Here is a 22,001-nt window from a genome sequence, read left to right on the forward strand (position 1 = left end):
TAAAAAAAACACTGCTACCTGGAGCACTTCAACTACTTGAGCTGTTGTATCTCAAATACTTTTCTGTCATTCTCCATTATCCATCCATTCAATAACCATTCTTTAAATGCTTACTATGTCCTAGACCTGGGGCTGCAAACTTTTTCTTAAAGGGCCAGGTAGTGAATATTTTAGGACAAGATGTAAAATCAAGGACATTTTGTAGGTACTTATATAGGAATTTAAATATACACCACTTAAAATGTAAAATCATTTTTAACTTGCAGTAAAAAGGGTCACAAATCAATAAAACCAGCATTAATAACATATGTCATTCTTTCAACAATTTAGGGAGGTATTATTCTTCTCATTTTTCAGAAGAGGAAATCAGGCTCAGACTAGTCATGTGATTTGTTTGTATTTGTACATTGTAGAGCCAGTATTCAAACTTATGTCTTCTGGGGAACAGTACATCAATATCACCAGCTCCGCATATGTAGCTCTCTCACATGCATAGTGATGAAATGATTTCTACTAACTCAGATTATGGAGTATATCCTAGAATATGTATTACATAGTATTATTAATTAACATTGGTAATAATATAGTGAGCATTTATGACTTTGGTGACCTGACGTTCTTCTAGGTTCTTAGGTCCTTGATCCCGTTTGATCATCACAACACCCAACAGAGAAGCTACTATTATTTTTCTGTTTTACGAAGGGGTAAACTGAGGAAGAAAGAGGTTATATAACTTGCCTAGCATGCCATTACTACTCTGTAGCAGAACTGGTGCTTTATTCCACGTCTTCCTTAAGTTAACTTTGTTTTGAGACTCAAGTCTCAAGTCTGTTTCAATCTAAGATTATTTTTTCTTGTTCATCCTTCAGGATTTCTGAGGAATAACTACTTTCTTCCATTTCTTAGGTCAAAAAAAATCACATAATTCAAACTATTAATAAAAACTGTATCTTTCAGGATTAAAGAGTGAAATCGTGTAGTTTCTCTGAGTGTTAAATTATAACATTTATGAAAAACCAATAAGATAAATAATAAAAATCATTCCAGAAAAATGCAAAATTTGAGAGTAGCCATGTTGGTGATGTTAACATATCTTCCTATGTAAAAATTTGTATGTAAAATATCCTAAGGGAATGTATTTGGTCAGCATGGAACATTGGAAGGGAGAAAATGCAGGAGTTTCCCAAGAGGAAAACTCGCACACAGCCCTAAAAATGAAGTAACCCAAAGAAATGCCTTGTCAAAATTCCACTACCAAGCATTTCCTTCCTACAGAGATAGATGAATACGGTGAATACAATCTGATGCCATTACACATTATCATCACTCCACCTAGTGACAATGGCAAATAGGTTTCATGCTACCTGCCAAATCCTAATGAACTACAGTGGAAGATCTTCAGGGCTGTGTTGAAAGGCTCTGTTGGCCAAGTCTGAACTCAGCGGCGGTAAGTATCATGACTGATTAGCCATGTCTGCCCAAGTCAGGAGGAAGGGTGGCACCATATATGAAGACCTTTCACACCACTCAATCCCATTTCTCTGATTTTGAGAGCAAAAAATTTGTGAAAGTAATTGGGATTTCATGTATCTTCCTGTACAGGGAATAGCCTGATATCCAAGAGTCTACCTCTCTTGACCACTGTATTTCTGGTCTGTAAATTAATCAGTTGGCATTCTGGTTCATTGACTAGTCTGTTGTGTACCTGGTTATATAAACTTAAACTGGGCAGTAACATCCATTCTCAGTGAACTGACAAGGTCAATTTTTGTGAGTCAACAACATTAATGAGCAAACTCAGATTCTGGTAAATTCACAAAAGTAAATCTTATGTGACCTCTTAGAAGCCAAACAGTGAGACAGCCTTCCCATTAAGAAAAAACTCTATCAGACACTTCTTCTAGATTTGAACAAAGAATATTTTTAATCAAATTCAGTTTCACCATTTCCAAATTTAATAATTTCCTTTCTTAAATTTTTTCTTCACAGATTTGCTATTGCCAGTGTTAGATGACGTTTAATTTTATACAAACACTCTCATTACCTCTCATTATGATGTTTAAAACCAATGAGAGTACCTTGAGGAGAATCTAGTTCTCTCTCAAACTATGATTATATCAGCCTGTCAACATTATAGTAGTTGTGCCCTGCACAATGACATTTCGGTAATGGACCACATACATCATGGTGATCCTATAAGATTATAATGAAGCTGAAAAATTCCTATTGCCTGGTGGGTGACATCATAGCCACCTTAACGTCATAGCACAAAGCATTACTCACGTGTTTGTGTGATGCTGGTGTAAACAAACCTACTGTGCAGCTGGTTGCATAAAAGTATAGCACATATACTTGTGTACAGTACATAATATGTGATAATGATAATAAATGAATGTTACTGGTTTATGTACTTACTATACTATACTTTTTATCATTATTTTAGAGTATACTCCTACTTATGAAAAAAAGTTAACCGTAACATAGTCTCAGATAGGTTCTTCAGGAGGTATTCTAGAAGAAGGCGTTGTTATCATAGGAGATGACAGCTCCACGTGTGTTACTGCCCCTGAAGACCTTCCAGTGGGACAAGATGTGGAGGTAGAAGACAGTGATATTGATGATCCTGACCCTGTACAGGCCTAGGCTAGTATGTGTGTGTGCCTCTTTTCTAAACTCAAATACGCTGAGTCATACTCCATTTATGACGGCATCATTTCCTTTTCATATGGTCACATCACCTTAACTAAACCCATGTTTCTAGTTTTACCTTTCGGACGTTTGCCAACCGATTCATCATCAAGGACTCCTCACGATCATCATCGTCGTCCAAGTCTAGCATCGGCATGCCAAAGGGGTCAATGATGCTGCAACACCTGGAGCCTTCATCTCTTGGATCAAAGGGGTCCACGATTATGGGCTCAGTTCCTTTTATTTCACAACGACAGAAAGGGCAGCCCTGACCATCCGACTCCTAAACAAATAGAAAATGCATGGATTGGTTTTGTTCAAAATAAACAGTACCGAGAAATGCTAATAATGTTCTACAACTATAAAAGTCACACCCCCAAAAAGACTTTTTGGGGTAGGAGGTGGGGGAAGATTTCTCTTGAAGTGGTAGTGGGTATAGAACAGGGAGCCAACAAAATGTATAATAAATGGTCAGTATCTTCAGTTTCCGAAGGAAAAATAAAGTTTTAAGAAAGTTTGATTTTCCCAAGAGAAGAAACCTCTTTATTTTCCTGACTGTTCACTTATTATTCTAATGTATCAAGGCATTAGAGTCCTGAAGAAAACTGGAAATTGAATCGTATCTCTCCTTATGAAAAGAGTGCAGTACTAACCAAACATTCCATAAAAAAGTATATTTTGGTAAAAATTCATAATAAAGCAGTAGTATCGGTGAGAAAAATACAATACTTGTGCATCTAACTGTGGCTAAATATTTGTTTTAACTGCCTGTGTATTTTAAAATCTTTATACACAATTAGGAAAAATTAAAATGTGTACATTTATATTCAAAAGCCATCATCTGTCCTGAAAGCCTGTCATCCTGACACACAGCTCAAATATAAAGTTCTCTGTGAGATACTAAGTTTTGCCCTTATCTTGCTTTTAAACAATATGATACAAAAAGATTTGTGCAAATACTTTTGGGCTGGAAATGTATTTACTGGTCATTATTGGATGTTTTGCTCAAAGTTTCCTACATTCATTTCTCAAAACTAACTACATTAAAAATTCACAATTTGCAGGGAAATAAAGACTGTTTTCTTGCCCTACAGACAACATTGCTTTCTAGAGATAAGATGGTATATGATATTCTCCACCCGATTTTTGGTTTTGCATTATACCCTGACTTTAGCAATGTGTTATTTAAAAGTGGCAAAAATCACAAAATTACTTTAAGGGAGAAATGGGATGAAATAGCACCATTTCAGTGGCAAGACAAGGGATGCAGAGAGCTGACGTCTTTAAAGAAACTGTTCCATAATTAATTCAGGACTGTCCTGTCCACTTGGTTTAATAGGAAATTAGTGATCTACCTGCCCAACAGTGATGTTTGGATCAAGGATGGAATAACTCTCTCACTCTCTTCTCACTGAACAACTACCTCACATCTACTTTGTGGCAGATCCTGTGATAGTTTATTCTTTCTAAGTCTCAGTCAGCTCAACAAATTGAACACCTCCTTTGCCAAACAAAGTGTCAAAAAACAAAAAACACTGAGCTTGCTTAAGAAAAATCAATTGCAACATATTCTTATTCATCTGCTTGTACATAATTTGGAAAAGAAACTTGGAATGGTAAAACAGTTGAACTAAGGTGGTATAAAGAAATACAGACATATAAATATAGAATCCTTCAAGGTTTACCACCATACATGTTCATGTCCAGGGGGCTTCAAAACACATTAAATATTATTTGCTCCATCATTTTACAGATAACAAAACCAAGATTTAATTCTTCTATTTTTGATAACCTCCTTGCAATGATATTTTCTAACACAGGAGTAAATATTTAAGAAAAGCAAAATCTTTCTCCTATAAAAAGAGTATTAAATTTAAAGTCATATTCAATATATATTATCATTTAGGCAAAACTCCCCTTGTTATAAAAGTCAAAAGAGATCCATATTAGGTGCCTATAGTGGAATACTTTTACAGATTTACATAAGACAATTTCAAAAAGATAGTTTTATTTAACAGCAAGCTGTGCCAGCCTGGGCAACATAGCAAGACCTTGTCTCTATAAAAAATAAATGTTTAAAAAATTAGCCAGGTGTTGTGATACACACCTGAAGTCCCAGCTGGTCGTGAGGCTGAGCTGGGGGCTTCGCTTGAGACCAGGAGTTTGAGGCTGCAGTGAGCTACGACAGCATGACTGCCCTCAGCCTAGGTGTAAGGGTAAGACCCCGTGCCAAAAAAAAAAAAAAAAAAAAGAAAAGAAAAGAAAAAAAGAAAGCAAGATCTGAAGATCTGATGGTCCCTCTGTCTTTAACACATGAAGAATGGAAAGCAGTACTTTGAGACGTACATAGTCTCATACATTTAAAAAAATTATTATAGAAAATCTCAGATACACATAAAATTTGAGGGAAAACTATAAATTTCTATGTACCTATCACCCGACTTCAACAATTATCAATTCATCCCCAGTCCAGTTTCATCTATATGTTCTCTTGTTCCTTTCACTCTTAGATCGTTTTGAAGTACCTCCTACACATCATATAAATTCACTGGTAAATATTTTAGTATCATAACTAAAAACCAAGAACCTTTTAAAGACCTAATCGTAACTAAAAATTATTCCACCCAATCGAAATCATGAAAGTTACATTATTTTTTAGTACAGTGCATAGAATGTGCAAGCCACACTATTAGGCTACGTAAGTTTCTCTTTGAACCTCCAGGGTCAACTTACATATTGCTCTGGTTAAGGATGACTTCCAGTTTATGTGATATATTTCCTCACAAGAGATAACTGAAAATATTGAGTTTTGAAGGGGGAGGAGGTGAAAGGCAATAACTGTGTCTTTATAGCACAAGAAAAAACAAAGAACTGTTCATCTAAAACTGAATTTAGATTTTTCTCTATGCTACTTGAACATTTAATGTTATACAAATTACTGATGTTGTTAAGAGTGCCTGTTATAAGAGTAGATATCACAAAATACATCTTCTCTTCAGCTTTGTTGTTGAGAGTTTACATTACTCAACAGATCAACAAACAGCTGCAATGACCATTAATTTTGATTTGCAAAAACACAGATCACAATGAATGTGTCTCTAATGGTACTTACTCTAATATGACTTCATCCATCACACTTTATAAATGGACTACTGTCACATGCAAATTAGACGTCTAACCATAAAGTCTCAAATGTTACTTTGGTTACTCTGCCCTAGTTTCTGTCAGGTGGTTGATTAAATACACATGAAGAATGTCTTCAATACAATAATTAAAATAATGTTTCTGTCAATGTATACTTAATGCAAGATCAAATAATATGCATTAATGGAGAATAAAGACCAATAAATAACTCATTTTCTAGTTTCCACCATTCTGTGAATGTTAAGAGGAAGTACTGAGGACTCCGTCTATTCTAAATGACTCAGTAGGTTTCACTTCCTCGAATAAGAAATACTTCTAAACCAAAGGATACAGAAGTTATCAGTGAATACTATACACAGCTGAAACTAAATTCTGTCATTTCTCATAATACAGTAAAATAATTCAGACTCACATTTCAACCATTAATACTGTAAGTCAGTGACATTACTTAAAATATAACTTTAGGTAAACTCAGATAATTAACATTGACAAACAAATAGAAAAAAATTTTAAACCTTCATAATACTACATTCTCCACAAATACTCTATGTAAAAACCCAAATGAATATTGTTAGTACCATCTCATCATCATCATGTATCAATCACCTTCCATACTTTGTTTAAATATTGCTAAGACAGACATACTATATCTTAAATACCTTCTTTTAAATGTTTTTCAAGATAGCATTATATATAGTATAAATTATTTGCTCTCAGCATGATTATTAGAGGCATACTTTGACTTAAGGTCAATCACTTTATGCCTTCCCACATATGTAATATACATCAAGGGCTGTAGGGTATATACATAGGGCCTCCTAAGTCTCATTTTGGAGTGCATTTTATATTTTTACTGTATGTGTATGCATATGTATGTATTTTTTCCTTTATCAATAACTTCTAATTTATATTACCTTGCTATATTTCATGTAGCTATGAGGTTGCCACAAATCTTTTTTTAAACATAGCAATTATAACTGGAAAAATTATATGTATATAAATGCACTGAGAATAGGTTGGATCCATACCAAGAATTTTCAAAGCACAGTATCTCCCACAGAAACTCAATAACTTCTGGCTGAAAGAACGAATGAAAGAATAAGGAAGGATAGTTAATAGTAATCTTAGACAAAATGCCCCAGAGCAGGAGAGATCTTTGGTTCTGGTTTATTATGATGGACAAGGAAAAAAGACATTGGTGAATCTAGACTCTTTTAGTTTTGATTTGGGATGCCCATAAAAGCCTGCATAGTAAATCAGAAAAGGAGCACAGACATTCTGAATTAGGATACTTGGACTGGACTTCTACCTTCCCCAATTACAGCTGTGTGACACTGGGCAATTCATTGCATCTTATTTACAGGGCATAATGAGATAATGCACATTTAGAGACACCATAAAGATAAAATGAGATAAATTAGTTTAAAGCTTTATAAAGTGCTATAAAAATTCCAGTTGGCATAATTAGTATAAAAATAGTCTCAAGAATAAATATAATAAGAAAACTAAGGAAACATATCTTAACTTTTGAAAAAACTCGTATCTCTATACGAATTCCATTTTGTAATGTAATGAATACAATTTTAAACCTGCAGAATTATCAATGTGCATAGATTAATCATAACTGGAAATATGAGATATCTCCTAAGCACTTTATTAGAAACAATAATAACTAAAATTCCAGGCACTGTTGTAAGCACTCTCTAAATATTAATTCATTTAATCCTATAAGGTAGGTACAATTATTGTTCCCCAACAAGAAAAAGGGGTTTACTAGTTTGATGAAGGTCACATAGCAAAAAATACTAAGTAGGAAATCACAACAAGGGGATCTATTTCAAGAGTCTAATCATTTCAACACTACACTATAGGATCAGCATGTAGTGGTTTTTCAATCTCAGATTCATAGTCAAGGTTAAAATAAAGGTGAAAAATAGCCGGTTGCTACTACTGATCATTCATAAATGTAAAAAATTTAAAACTATTTTGTTCAAATTGCAAATATCAAAATTAAAAAAACTACTACAATCAATGAATATTCTGTTCGCTCTAATTGAAAAGTTTCAGCTCTTTAACAGGAAGACATAAAATGTATCTGAATAATTATACCATTTCTGAGGACACGTTTTTACATAGTAAAAGCTTTTTGTTTTAAACATTTGTTGCTTGAATCCAATTTAAAATTTTAATGCATGAAGTTGGTCTAGAATGAGCTGGTCATTTAGAATGAGTCTACATTCTAAACACTTTTTAAAAATGGTGTCAACTTTAAAAACACCTATAAAAGATCCATGTTGGAGTCAACTGAAAATGTTTCCAAAGTGCCAGTATCTGTTACGGTCCACACACTCTACAATATAGTGGGCATCCATCTAATTTAGTCATTAGACTTAAGAATCAAGCACTTATTCTACCAGATTTTATTTTCTCATATCCATCAGTTCCTTTCCTTTTCTAGTGCATCGCTCTAGTTCATAATGTTACTATAACGTGTTTGGACAACTCTCGCAGCTTCTTTATTACTCCCAACGTGAAAGGGAAGCTCCAACATTTAATCACTCATTTACACAAAAGACACAACGGGTGGTTAAAGACAAAAGTGCCAATTTAAAACGTTCGTAAAGGCAAGTATTATTTTCTATTTGTAGTACCTAAGTTATAAAATTTCACTGAGGCTAGAAATGTGAAGACTGGTCGCCTTTGAAGGAAGATAGAGTAAAACATTTATTTTATTTTATCTTTTTTTTTTACTCTTTGAGACAGAATCTCACTCTGTTACCTAGGCTGGGGTGCAGTGCCGTGATCTCAGCTCACTGAAACCTCTGCCTCTAGGGTTCAGGCCATTCACCTGTGCCTCAGCCTCCCAAGCTGCTGGGATTACAGGCTCCCGCCACCACGCCCAGTTATTTGGTATTTTTAGTAGAAACAGGGTTCGCCATGTTGGCTAGGCTGGTCTTGAACTGCTGACCTCATGTGATCCACCCACCTCGGCTTCTCAAAGTGCTGGGATTACAGGTGTGAGCAACCGCGCCTGGCCAAAGATTATTTCTTATTGCCTTAAAAGTGATCATTTGAACTTGTTTCTCACCTCTCTCAGACAACTATATACATTTTCCCAACAACACTCTCTACATATGGAACATCTATAAATCTCCTTAATCATATTCCACATTAAAATCAGAGTTTATTGATTTTTTTGTAAATTACTATTTTGAATACGCTGATATCTTTCTTTTAAATTATATCAAACAATATACAGGAAGAATAACCACAGGAAAATTAATTTTACATTTAATTGAATTAAAGTCCTTGGCAGTAATTCAAAACATAGCTGCATATCCAACTGACAAAGATATACATTTTTATTTTGGAAGGAAGATATGAAGAACACAGTTTGGGGTTTGTTCCATTCAGGAGCTCAAAAGCCATTTTCCTTTTTTTTTTTTTTCTTTTATTATACTTTAAAAGTTCTGGGATACATGTGCAGAACATGCAGGTTTGTTACACAGGTATACACATGCCATGGTGGTTAGCTGCACCTATCAACCAGTCATCTACATTAGGTATGTCTCCTAAAGCTATCCCTCCCCTTGCCCCCCAGCCGCTGACAGACCCTGGTGTGTGATGTTCCCCTCCTGGGTCCATGTGTTCTCAATGTTCAACTTCCACTTATGAGTGAGAACATGCAGTGTTGGCTTTTCTGTTCTTGTGTTAGTTTGCTGAGAATGATGGCTTCCAGCTTCAACCATGTCCCTGCAAAGGACATGAACTCATCCTTTTTTATGGCTGCATAGTATTCCATGGTGTATATGTGCCACATTTTCTTTATCCAGTCTATCATAGATGGACATTTGGGTTGGTTCCAAGTCTTTGCTCTTGTGAACAGTGCTACAATAAACATACATGTGAATGTGTCTTTTTAGGACAATGATTTATAATCCTTTGAGTATATACCCAGTAATGGGATTGCTGGGTCAAATGGTATTTCTGACTCTAGATCCTTGAGGAATCACCACACCATCTTCCACAATGGTTGAACTAATTTACACTCTCATCAACAGTGTAAAAGCACTCCTATTTCTCCACATCCTCTCCAGCATCTGTTGTTTCCTGACTTTTCAATGATCGCCATTCTAACTGGCGTGAGATGGTTATCTCATTGTGGTTTTGATTTGCATTTCTCTAATGACAAGTGATGATGAGCTTTTTTTCATGTTTGCTGGCTGCATAAATGTCTTCTTTTGAGAAGTGTTTGTTCATATGCTTCGCCCACTTTTTGACTTTGTTTTTTTTTCTTGGAAATTTGTTTAAGTTCCTTGTAGATTATGGATGTTAGCCCTTTGTCAGATGGATAAACTGTAAAAATTTTCCCTCATTCTGTAGGTTGTCTGTTCACTCTGACGACAGTTTCTTTTGCTGTACAGAAGCTCTTTAATTAGATCTCATTTGTCTATTTTGGCTTTTGTTGCCATTGCTTTTAGTGTTTTAGTCATGAAGTCTTTGCCCATGCCTATGTACTGAATGGTATTGCCTAGGTTTTCTTCTAGGGTTTTTACGGTTTTATGTCTTACATTTAAGTCTTTAATCCGTCTTGAGTTAATTTTTGTATAAGATATAAGGAAGGGGTCCAGTTTCAGTTTTCTGCGTATGGCTAGCCAGTTTTCCCAACACCGTTTATTAAATAGGGAATCCTTTCCCCATTGTTTGTTGTTGTCAGGTTTATCAAAGATCAGATGGTTGTAGATGTGTCGCATTATTTCTGAGGCATCTATTCTGTTCCATTGGTCTAGATATCTGTTTTGGTACCAGTACCATGCTGTTTTGGTTACTGTAGCCTTGCAGTATAGTTTGAAGTCAGGTAGCGTGATGCCTCCAGCTTTTTTCTTTTTGCTTAGGATTGTCTTGGTTATACGAGCTCTTTTTTGGTTCCATATGAAATTTAAAGTAGTTTTTTCTAAGTCTGTGAAGAAAGTCAATGGTAGTTTGATGGGGATAGATTGAATCTATAAATTACTTTGGGCATTTTGGCCATTTTCATGATATTGATTCTTTCTTTATGTCCTCTCTGTTTGCAGATGACATGAATGTATATTTAGAAAACCCCGTCGTCTCAGCCCAAAATCTCCTAAAGCTGATAAGCAGCTTCAGCAAAGTCTCAGGATATAAAATCTATGTGCAAAAATAACAAACATTCCTATGCACCAATAATAGACAAACAGAGAGCCAAATCATGAGTGAACTCCCATTCACAACTGCTACAAAGAGAATAAAATACCTAGAAATACAACTTACAAGGGATGTGAAGAACCTCTTCAAGGAGAACTACAAATCAAAAGCCATTTTCTAGATTCCTGAAATAAGCACAGAATGAAAACAATTCCTTAACTTTTAACCTTACATGGTAATGCTGCAGAATCACTGCTGCATAATATACTACCTCACAAAGGAAGATGTGCAGAAGTTCAGGGTTGAGAAGATAAACGTTTTGTTAATGTCCCATTAACACGTGGATGTGAAAGACAACTCTCCAAGTTTTATTACTAAGGGTAGCACAAAAATGTTGCACACAGAGTAGTATTACTTCAAAGAATGTCTCTAGAAAGGTGATTATTCAACTTACTTAGTATTCTGTGCAAACTCTGCTTGCTTATTCAATTTATTAAATAACACAGATGTTTCAGAAAGAGAAAAAAGCATCTGACACCTCTTCAGAGGCATGACTAATGGGCCATTATGACAGCAATTAAAGAGTAACCACTTGCAGCCTATAACTACTGACACAGCTACTGCGCATTTCTTAAGTTTTCTGTTAATTACATAAAATTTAAGTCTCTAATGAATTTCAATTAAACCAAAGTAGGGCATCAGATGGAAGGAAAAGTTGGTGAAGAATGACTTGCTAAAAATGCACACTGCTGAGCAGAGTATGATTTATGGTCAGGGTTTAATATTTCCTATTGGATTCTAACTGATTTATCATAGCTTCTTGGCAGACACGCAGCCTTTAAAATCATGTTCATATCAGCATGCCCAACCAACGTAGTAGAAAGTAAGAAAAAATGTCTAGCAGCCATAATTAAATTTGAAGGATAACAGGATACTCATTTTAAGTAATTATTAACACCATGCCCCTTAATAGAAATTTCAGGTTTAATTTTAACTTTAACTTCTTGGAGCTAAGGATTGTGTCTCAGAGTTCTTTTCAGTTCAGAGCATACTACAGAACATGGGATATTGCAGCTGCTCAAAGAATGTTTCCTAAATAAATAAATAAATGGAAAATGATAGTTGAAACCATCTTGGTTTGCTTCTACCAAACCAGTAAGAGGAAGAAGCAAAATAACAAATTCTTCCTGTGCACAGTTAAGCTTGCAAATTTAATCATATAAAACAAAAACAATGTCTTTAAGGTACCATTTTTGAATGAGGAAAAAATTGAACAAGAGAGACGTAAGTTATTTTAATCTAAGTCCAGACACCTAATACCTTGAGAACATTTCTCTATATATGTACAAGCTTAGATACCACTTTTGGCAATATTTTGTGGAACTATGAAGTGTGCTATAATTTTGTTCTTCTTACTGACATATTTATCATCAATTAGGTTAAGTCAAGTGAGCACAGCTAGGTGAGATTACAGATACGAGACCTTCAGCATATCTAATGTTTTACAACTGTGCTTTAACTAGATTAACTTTATAGGACTTTTATTTTTATTAAATACCAGAGGCATTTTGCAATAACATATTTTAATGATCAACAAACATTCCTGTTCATGCAATAATACAAAAGCTGCCAAAACAGATACGCTAGTTGGCAGGAAGCACTACGTGAAGACTGTATCTAAATGTAAAAATATTTAGATTATCCAAAAGTAGAAATGTTCAAAAGTTGAAACTTCCTTTGACCAGTAAGATCCCACTGAGATACAGAGACTGTGAAATATCAATTTAGAATTATTGACCTAAGAATAATTTTCTTTAGGGGGAGAGAAAACATGAACCGGGGATTACTGTGCATATTTTTTTTTTGGTGTAAAACAGCGATAAAAATGCAGTCTTACTGCTTCTGTGTTAGTGCTGGTAGTACTGCATACAATAAACGTAAAATAACATGGTTCAAGAATGGGTGGAAAAAAATCACAATGTAAAATGTTAAGGAAATCACACAATAGCTAGTGAATGGAACAAAGGGAACTAAGCCTTAGATATTCTAGGATTCGTTCTCAGATACTAAGTATGATAAAAGGTCTTTGAAAAGATCATAAATAATTCTCAGAAAAGTATTGTAAGAGCTTTTCACAACCTACAATACTGTCTTTTTATTTAATGTACTTTTAGACTTCCTTTTCTTTTACATTACCTAGCATGCAATCTATAAGTATTTACTGCGTAATGACCAATGTGCAGATAACATGCTAGCAGAGAGATTCTAAAATAGGTAAAGTAATCCACATTCTAGAAAGAAAATACATAAATATGGAAATATTTACAATATGAACATAATGAGGTAAGAGCTTACAGAAACATATACAAAATGTATCAGGAGGATGCTTATTAATGATGAGCTGCTTTGTGTGAGGAGAATTCAAAAACAATACTGAAAATAAAGGTTTGCATATTTTTCATTAATTTAGGTGCAAAATTCAATGATCAGATTAAGACAATAACATTACTGTCTAGTAACATAAATGTAATTTATTATTTCAACCTTCTGAATAGTTTTGAATTTGTCATTTTTGTTTCTACTTTACTTAGTAAACTATTACTCTCACATAACTTTTAAAATTTTAGCTAAACACAATTTTCAGAGCTTGACAATTATGTACTTCCTCAATTTATAAAAGTAAAACTGAGAAGTAGCTGAGAATGAAAAAGAGAAATAGTAAATGTTAACAACTTACTAACATTACTGAACATATCTTCATATAAGGTCATTAGGCCAATATAAAAAATCATGAAATAATTCAAGGAATTGATAAGCAACAAGCAAGAGGAACTACACCAATTTGGAGAATGCACAGTAACACATAGACATGTTGTGGTGATGTAAAATGTTGTGGTGATTACACAGCATTAGTAATACAGAAAGACAACTGGGAAATGTTCCTATGCCTTTTGCACATAATGAACCTACTGCAAATAGTTCACAAACCTAACAAATAAATACAGTAAGTCCTCAATTAATATTGTTAATTAGTTCTTGGAAATTGAGACTTTAAGTGAAACAACTTACTGTATAATGAAATCCATTTTACCCTAGGCTAATTGATAGAAACAAGAGTTAAGGTTCCTACAGCATACAGTATGTCACTTTGCTCAAAGTTGCAGTTTCCAAGAATGTACTGACAATGTGAAGTTAGGACTTAAGTAAAGGTAGTATTTATTTACTAAGAATAAACTTTCTTTTAAGAAGTATATAGAAAGTAAAATAAATATTTGTTGCTTTATATTCAGCCATACTTTTCTACTCACCCTGGGCTGCAAGGCAAACAACTATTTTATTATTATTATTATTACTTTATAGAGACGGGGTCTCCTTATGTTGTCCAGGCTGTTCTCGAACTCCTGGGCTCAGGGGATCTTCCTGTCTCAGCCTCCCAAAGTACTGGGATTTAAGAGGTGTGAGCCGCCATGCCTGGCCAGTAAACTATTTTGTATGATGCTTTGAACAAAACATTTTACTAAACAAATGTTTCTGTCAAACTCATAGCAGCTTCTGACTTTTAACCAACTTAACCTCCAAATACTAAGCACAGTATTGAGTTACAGATGTGAAGTCTTGCAACATGTATGCATGTGTATGCTCTAAGACTGGAGCCCCAAGAAAAATGGCTGAAATACACAAGCCCTGCATGGAGGCAGAGTGTTAGGAATTTGTATCAGCCTATTATTCTGATTTTCTTCAGGGAGAAATGCAAGGCTTTTAGTTTCTTTGTACTTGTAAAAACCACACTACCACCCTGAAGGCAAAGAAGGGTGACAAATACAATTTGTTTTCTTTGTTAGTTTAACACGTATCCTGAAACACTGAATGATTATCAGGTACACCAATCCTAAGTAGTCCAATTACAGACAATCTATCACTGAGTCAATATCTCTATAATACCTCCTACTGACACATTTGAAATAAACTTGCAAACAATTCTGTCTTCTACCAACATATCTACATTTATTGAATGTAGTTTAAAAGGCACTGCTAAGTTTGCAGAACTATTACTGTTAATGTAATTTAAATAGGAATCAAGTATCTATGTTGAGAATGATCTCCTTCAACATCTCCCTGTAATATGCAAATTTCGCCAACATCATGAAGGGATAAAAGGAAATAAGGGAGAGGATATAAAGAAAAACGTAAAACAAAATATAAGCCAAATGCATATGAAGAAGAGAAGTATAGGGATTTTGAACAACGTTACTGAGGTAGCAAAGATCTCTGGGCATTCAGAAAGGACTTTGAAAATATAAATCAACTGTAATTCATTTCCTAATTCTTCCTCTTTTCCTCATCCATTAAAAAAATATTCACAAAAGAAGAAGCAGGCCCTTTTATGACTATGAAAATGGGAAAATCATTATATTTTATTACTAAGTAAGGAGCTCGGCAGGCATCAATGCCCCTCTGAGTCTGTCAGCCCCCTTCCATGAGCCTCAATGTCCATCCTTCCTCAACTCATGCAGAGATGCAGGGTTGGACAAAGAAAATCAAGGACTGAGAGGGCTTAGAAATAGGGTAGGAATGTCAACTTTATGCTTCACCGAAAATCTTTTTTAAAGACTAGAAAATTTAATTATTTGCTTTCTAAACCCTATCAATATACTTCTAACTTCAATATAACTATGTCAAACAGTTTCAAAATGGCTTGATCAAAATATTCCATGACTCCTCCAAATACTCAAAACTGGAAATCTGTCCAAAGATCCATTTTAAAAATCCCCAATCTTTGTTACAGATGAAGAAATATAAGAAAGCCCTTGGGCTCACACCTGTAATCCCAGCACTTTGGGAGGCCGTGGCAGGTGGATCACAAGGTCAGGAGATCGAGACCATCCTGGCTAACATGGTGAAACCCCGTCTCTACTAAAAATACAAAAAATTAGCTGGGCACGGTGGCGGGCACCTGTAGACCCAGCTACTCGGGAGGCTGAGGCAGGAGAATGGCGTGAACCCAGGAGGCGGAGCTTGCTGTGTGCCGAGATCGTGCCACTGCACTCCAGCCTGGGCGACAGAGCAAGACTCTGTCTCAAAAAAAAAAAAAAAAGGAAAGTCCTTGGGAAAACCAGTTATTCTCCAGACCTTCCTATAAAACTTCAAATCAATTTATATTTATTGAATGCCTGCGGCAGATGGGAAGGCAATTTGCCTGAGATTATGCTTCAGTAAATAGGGAACTTTAATGCCTGTTTCTGTGGGAACTATAAGTGTTTGAGAGATACTTCCTGTCTGATTCTCCAATTTCAGCACTACGGAGCATATGTGAGACAGGAACCATGCCTCCTCAGGAGTAAAGAAGTTTGCTTGAAAATATCAAAATAAGATTTATCTACTATGGTTTACTTGGCTTCAGAAACTGACCTACTACAAACAGATTCTGACCTATCAATAAATGGCATAAAAATGTCTAGTTGGTAATACCTATAAGTGAACATACTGAAATCCATGGTACTACAGAAGTAGAACTACTGATGACTAATATAATAAAATTTATACATTTAAAGATAAAATATAAGATAGTTAAAAATCAAATTATATATAGCAACTCAAACATATAAAATCTTTACACAATCATTTCAAACAAAGCACTTACCAGCATTACTTCCTAAACCATTAAGAAAACTGAAAAGAGAAATATTAGTAGGACATATAAGAAAGACATCCATGTTGCTAATGATTATACCTGCCATGCCGTAAGGCAAGAGGTGCACATCAAATGCCCACAAGGCTCAATCTTGACATCTTTGTCATTCTCTGCACAAATCTTACAGAGCTGAAAAGTGGAGCCCATTTCACAATATAATTCATATTGTTCCTGGAATTTGGGGAGGAGGGAGAAAGTAATGTTAATGTATTTCCAGCACAAATTGTTAGTATCAAATTTTCCCAAATAAAATGACGCACAGTCAATATCTCACAATTGACCTTGTCAGAATTTTGTTACCATTTGAGACATGTTTTGAATTGATAATCACAATTTGGTCTACAAAATTCATTTTAAAAAGGTTTGAACTTTTATCATCTATCTTACATGCTTCTTAATGATTCATATTATTTAAGGTTCCTTTACTGTTCCTTTAGGAAGGGACTTGCTTCAATAGTCATGGTGACTCAAAAGACAAAATCTATGGTTTTAAAATAGGAATATAAAATGACTTTATCTTTTTTATAAATGCCACATGCTCATATAATTTAACTGTCAAATTGAAAAAAAAATGATACTTGGCTAAACATTAAATTTTACTGTTTCAATATCTTTAGAAATCCCTGAATGCAAGAAAAGTGACAAACATTTACCAAGCACTTCCCGCATGCCAGGCACTGTGGTCCACACTTACTATTTCACTTCATCTCCAAAGCACAAGAAGATATATTGAACTTAACAAAAGTTAGGCCTGGGGCTTAATCAGTTTAACTTGTTTGCTTCAAACTCTAAATTAAGCCTCTGACTAAAAAGTGCATACGCTTTCCCTAACACTGTCAAGAAAACAAATCACTTCAGTAACCAAAAACCATTTTATTAAAACTGCAATGTTCTTGATTGATTGGGTTTTTAGCTTAAAACATTTGACACAGTAAAATTTTCAAAATTCAAATACTGAAAAGATCTTCGTGACAAAAATACAAATAAATTGGTAAATTTGAAAAAATACAAATAAATTGGTAAATAATGAAAAAAGATGTTAGGAATACAAAGAAAAGGAATTATGAAACCAATATTTGGGTAAATAAAGCAACTTTTAGTTCAGTAAGTGACTACAATGTGCCTGGCACGGAGTAGGATAAATAAATAATAATATTTAGTCCACAGACTACTAAAATATATTATAATCCTGGTGAGAAAAATATACATATACATAAACATACATGGATACATATGCATGTACATGCAGGTACACACATGTACACATAAACTGTGTCTATTATGATGTGTGAATATACAAAAATTTTGTGGGGAACTTAAGGAAAGAGACGAGAGAATGCATAAAAATGGAGAAGAAATAAAACTAAAGTAATTCAAAGTAAGTTATAAATTGCTGATGTCCCTGAAATAATAGATAAGTATTGATACTGGTTATGACTGTCCAAAGGAAAAATATGCAATTATAAAAAAAATTACATTAAGCTAAAATCAAAGATGCAGATCTCAATGCAACCTAAACAGTAAGAGTATTTATGAGTAATTTAAGGGGATGTTATTACTTCCAAAGATTTATTTTTTTAATGGCTTTATAAAGAGGAACTGTCTTTCCTAAGTATCCTTTCACACATATTTGAAAATACAGGATCACCACATAACTTTTAAAATGGCAATCATATATTAAATTTAAAATGGCAATCATGGCCGGGCATGGTGGCTCACGCCTGTAATCCCAGCACTTTGGGAGGGCGAGGCGGGTGGATCACCTGAGGTCAGGAGTTTGATCCTGACCAACATGGAGAAACCCCATCTCTACTAAAAATACAAAAATTAGCCGGAAGTGGTGGCAGGCACCTGTAATGCCAGCTACTCGGGAGGCTGAGGCAAGAGAACAGCTCGAACCCAGAGGGCAGAGGTTGTAGTGAGCCGAGATCGCGTCACTGCACTCCAGCCTGGGCGACAAAGCAAGACTCTGTCTCAAAAAAAGAAAAACAAGGCAATCATTTATTAAATTTACACGTACAATATGTACATATAAATGTCAATGTGTATGTCTCACATAATAATGTAAAGACCATGGGAAAGGAAATCTGGAGAATTATAAGGTAAATTATTATCTACTGTCTTAAAAAAAGCTGTAATTCTTCTCTTGTTTTTTCCCTTAGATTTTTATTACTTATTACACAAGGCGTGAACATATCTCAAATATAAAATATTTTAAAACTAGACTGAATATAAAATAAAATATTCAAGTTCTCCCTTCATCCCCTCCCTCACTGCTCAATCCCTTTTCACCTCCTCAGTTAAATCTTCTTACCAGTTTGGTGTTTTTTTGATCTTTTAAAAACTATACTCACATGTTCATATACAGCAATTAATTAATTATTTCCTTACAGAAGTTGAACGTACATAATGCAACTTGACCAAATGAAATGTTACCTACATGTACTTTACATAAATGGAATTATTTTACAGTACAAGATGCAGAAGTTCCCATGTGAGTATGTAGAGCTACCTCCCTCCTGTTCATGACTTCACACAATACAGTATGAGAACAGTAGTCTATTTTATTTAATCTATTACTAAAGTTCTTAGTATTTTGTAATTTTTCGCTTTTACAAAAAATATTACAGTAAATACCTGTTGTATAGATTTTTGTGTGCATGTGTAAGTGATATATATGGGATCTATTACATATATAGAATTTAAAGTGAAAAGATATTTTCACTTAGATTTTTATAATCACTGAATATCACTCTCAAGAAAGGTTTTACCAACTTACATTCCTATTCATAAGCTATGAGGCTGCCAGCAATGGATTTAGAAAAACATAATTGTTATCTTCAACAGGCTTCAATTACCCATTTGACTCTAAAATCTAAGGCATATAATTATTCTAATCTTTTTTTGGTAGCTTTCTAAACTATGGCTCTCTCCTTACATCCACCTACTTGCTTATGGATTTATTTATTTCCCCCATATAAATGCCAATACTATATGGAAAGCAAGAATTTTAACAGCATAAATTTGTATCAAAAAATCTAAGAAAGTAATATAATTTCTCCTTAAACACTCTTAGAATTCCTTAAGTATATTTTGTATTAAATACCTGTGCATGATTTTAACTACACTAAGAGAGTCTTATTTATTTCAAGGGCATTATGGATACTTATTTAATTATACTTTTCTAGCAATTATCCTTACCTGTGTAACTTTTATATGGTCATGAGGTGTAGGTTCACATAATCCAGTTAAATCAGGATTATAACTCCTCCCATCAGGATAAAGATAACTGAATTTAAACAGAAACTTTATTACCTTAAATATACAAGTTTTAATTGCATTTAAGGATATTTAATCAAATTTTTCTATATTCAAACATACATTTGGATGTTTCCTTTTCATGTAACATATCAATAACATATTACTTCAATGTTTCCAAATTACTATGTTGTTTTTAGGACACTTAAAATGTAGAATTTTCATATAAGAAATACATAATGAATATAGCCTAACCCACTAAGCAACCATTTTCAATGAAATACCTTTAATATATGTCTCTTATATAAGTTAAGAATTTATTTCACTGGTCAATCATGTTGTATTCCAAAACACTTTGAAGATATACCTATTTGCAACTATTACATCCTTCATCTGAGGCACAGGTAATAATGGTATCATTTTACACCATGCCTAATACCACATGGAAAGAAAAATATAATTAAAGGCCACAGTTTTCTTGTAAGTTACTCAAACACTTCTGTGGTATTCCTGTTTCTACAGTTTCCATATCTCTTCTCCCATCTTCCCCTCACCTAACACAAACACATGTGCACATATGCAAACACACAGACACACAGGCACATACACATTTTAAAAAATTAGAAAATGTTACGTTTCCATGTTTCATTGACTTAACACTACAAACACAAAATGGTCTATAGATACAAGGTTCTATTATCAGGGAAAACTGAAATCTGAACTAAAAGTTGTAGTAATAATGCATTCTTGCTGTGTTAAATCAGAAGTTGTACTTGTTATTGAAAAATTCATTAAAAAATAAAATTTACTGTGTTGGTAAATACTTATTTTTAATTGAAAAAAGTGGTAATGTCACTGCTGTATTTCATCAGTTTATTAAATTATGGTTAGTTCTGTTTAACATCTTTCTATACTAAATTTCTTAAATAAAACAATAAGAATATAGTACTGTAGTATGTATATTTTAAAGGGTAAAACTATAACAAATCTATTCTTTAAAATAACAAAAAATATTTATCCTCGAATGAGGAGTCTACAAACATGTTAAGTGTTAGAATTTACCCAGGAAAACCAGAAAAATGAACTTAAAGGACAGATAATTCTTACATAGTAAGGGACAAATCAGTGAGATGATTTTTTTATGATTTAGCAAAAGGAGTTTACTACATCTGAGTATGATACAAATTTAGAATGTCCTTATGGGTGTGTTACAAAATTTGACAAACATTAAATGAGGAATGATAATCCAAAGAAGAATAAGCAACTTTTTTATATACCCTAAAAATTGGCCATTTAAAAAAATATTATATAAAATTTTATGTATCACATTTCAAATAATATGAAGAAATTCTAGCAAGAATTCAGAAATTAAAGATTACAAAAATCATGATTAGGGTACCATAGGAAAGGTTAAAGGTTCTTTTTAACCTATCAGGAGGTTGTTGATAGGTTCTACTTATAAATTCAAACTTTAAAGTATATTTTCTTAAAAAAAATCTGTAATCATGGTAAATCAAAATCTATACACAAAGCTTTGATGCATTAGAAGAAAGGTATAAATAACCGACACTAGCAAATTTATGAAAATTAGAAGGAAAAAGAAAGAGAAATACACATTTGGTACCATAACTTGCCATACAATTACTATGTAATTAATTTATTGAAAGGTTTTGTGTGTGTTGGTATTATTATTATTTTTTCAGATAAGGTCTCACTCTGATGCACAGGCTGGAGTGCAGTGGCACGATGTTGTCACTGTAGCCTCAACTTCCCAGGCTCAGGTGATTAACCCATCTTAGCCTCCAGAGTAGCGAGGACTACCGTCACGCGCCACCATGCCCAGCTAATTTTTTTGCATTTTTTGTAGAGCTAGGGTTTTGCCATGTTGCCCAGCCTGACCTCGAACTCCTGGGCTCAAGTGATCCTCCTGCCTTGGCCTCCCAAAATGCTGGGATTACAGGCGTAAGCCACCACTCCCACCCAAAAGCTCATAGGTTTTTAGAAATTCCTAATTTTTCTTTGTATAAATCTCATCACTTTTTTTCTTTTCTTT

The 22,001-nt window shown here is 34.0% G+C and overlaps 1 protein-coding gene across 44 annotated transcripts in view, besides 1 other annotated feature; it reads right to left on the minus strand.

The window, feature by feature from the left end:
* Window positions 1-22,001, minus strand: part of CBLB (Cbl proto-oncogene B) — a 213,989-nt gene that overhangs the window by 61,819 nt on the left and 130,169 nt on the right. For 42 of the 44 annotated variants that reach the window (NR_135810.2, NR_135811.2, NR_135808.2 and 39 more), the window contains 3 exons: window positions 19,892-19,979; window positions 16,730-16,861; window positions 2,768-2,971 (listed from right to left, as the gene is read on the minus strand). Coding sequence is in view for 35 of the 44 variants with exons in the window: in XM_011513257.2 (XP_011511559.1) it covers window positions 2,768-2,971; window positions 16,730-16,861; window positions 19,892-19,979 (424 nt within the window). In the remaining 9 variants the exon portion in view is untranslated. Of the gene's footprint in view, window positions 1-2,767; window positions 2,972-6,746; window positions 6,911-16,729; window positions 16,862-19,891; window positions 19,980-22,001 lie in introns of all 44 variants that reach the window. The other 2 variants (NM_001321820.2, NM_001321822.2) reach the window with 2 other exon arrangements.
* Window positions 2,329-3,528: an enhancer, noted in NCBI's record as "P300/CBP strongly-dependent group 1 enhancer chr3:105438452-105439651 (GRCh37/hg19 assembly coordinates)". NCBI's record gives its function as "activates an origin of replication core promoter dependent on BRD2, BRD4, P300/CBP, MED14 and CDK7 cofactors, with strong dependence on P300/CBP, by STARR-seq in HCT116 cells {active_cell/tissue: HCT116}" and the evidence as "EXISTENCE:reporter gene assay evidence [ECO:0000049][PMID:35650434]".

Source organism: Homo sapiens, chromosome 3 (assembly GCF_000001405.40).
Source record: "Homo sapiens chromosome 3, GRCh38.p14 Primary Assembly".
Classification (NCBI taxonomy): domain Eukaryota; kingdom Metazoa; phylum Chordata; class Mammalia; order Primates; family Hominidae; genus Homo; species Homo sapiens.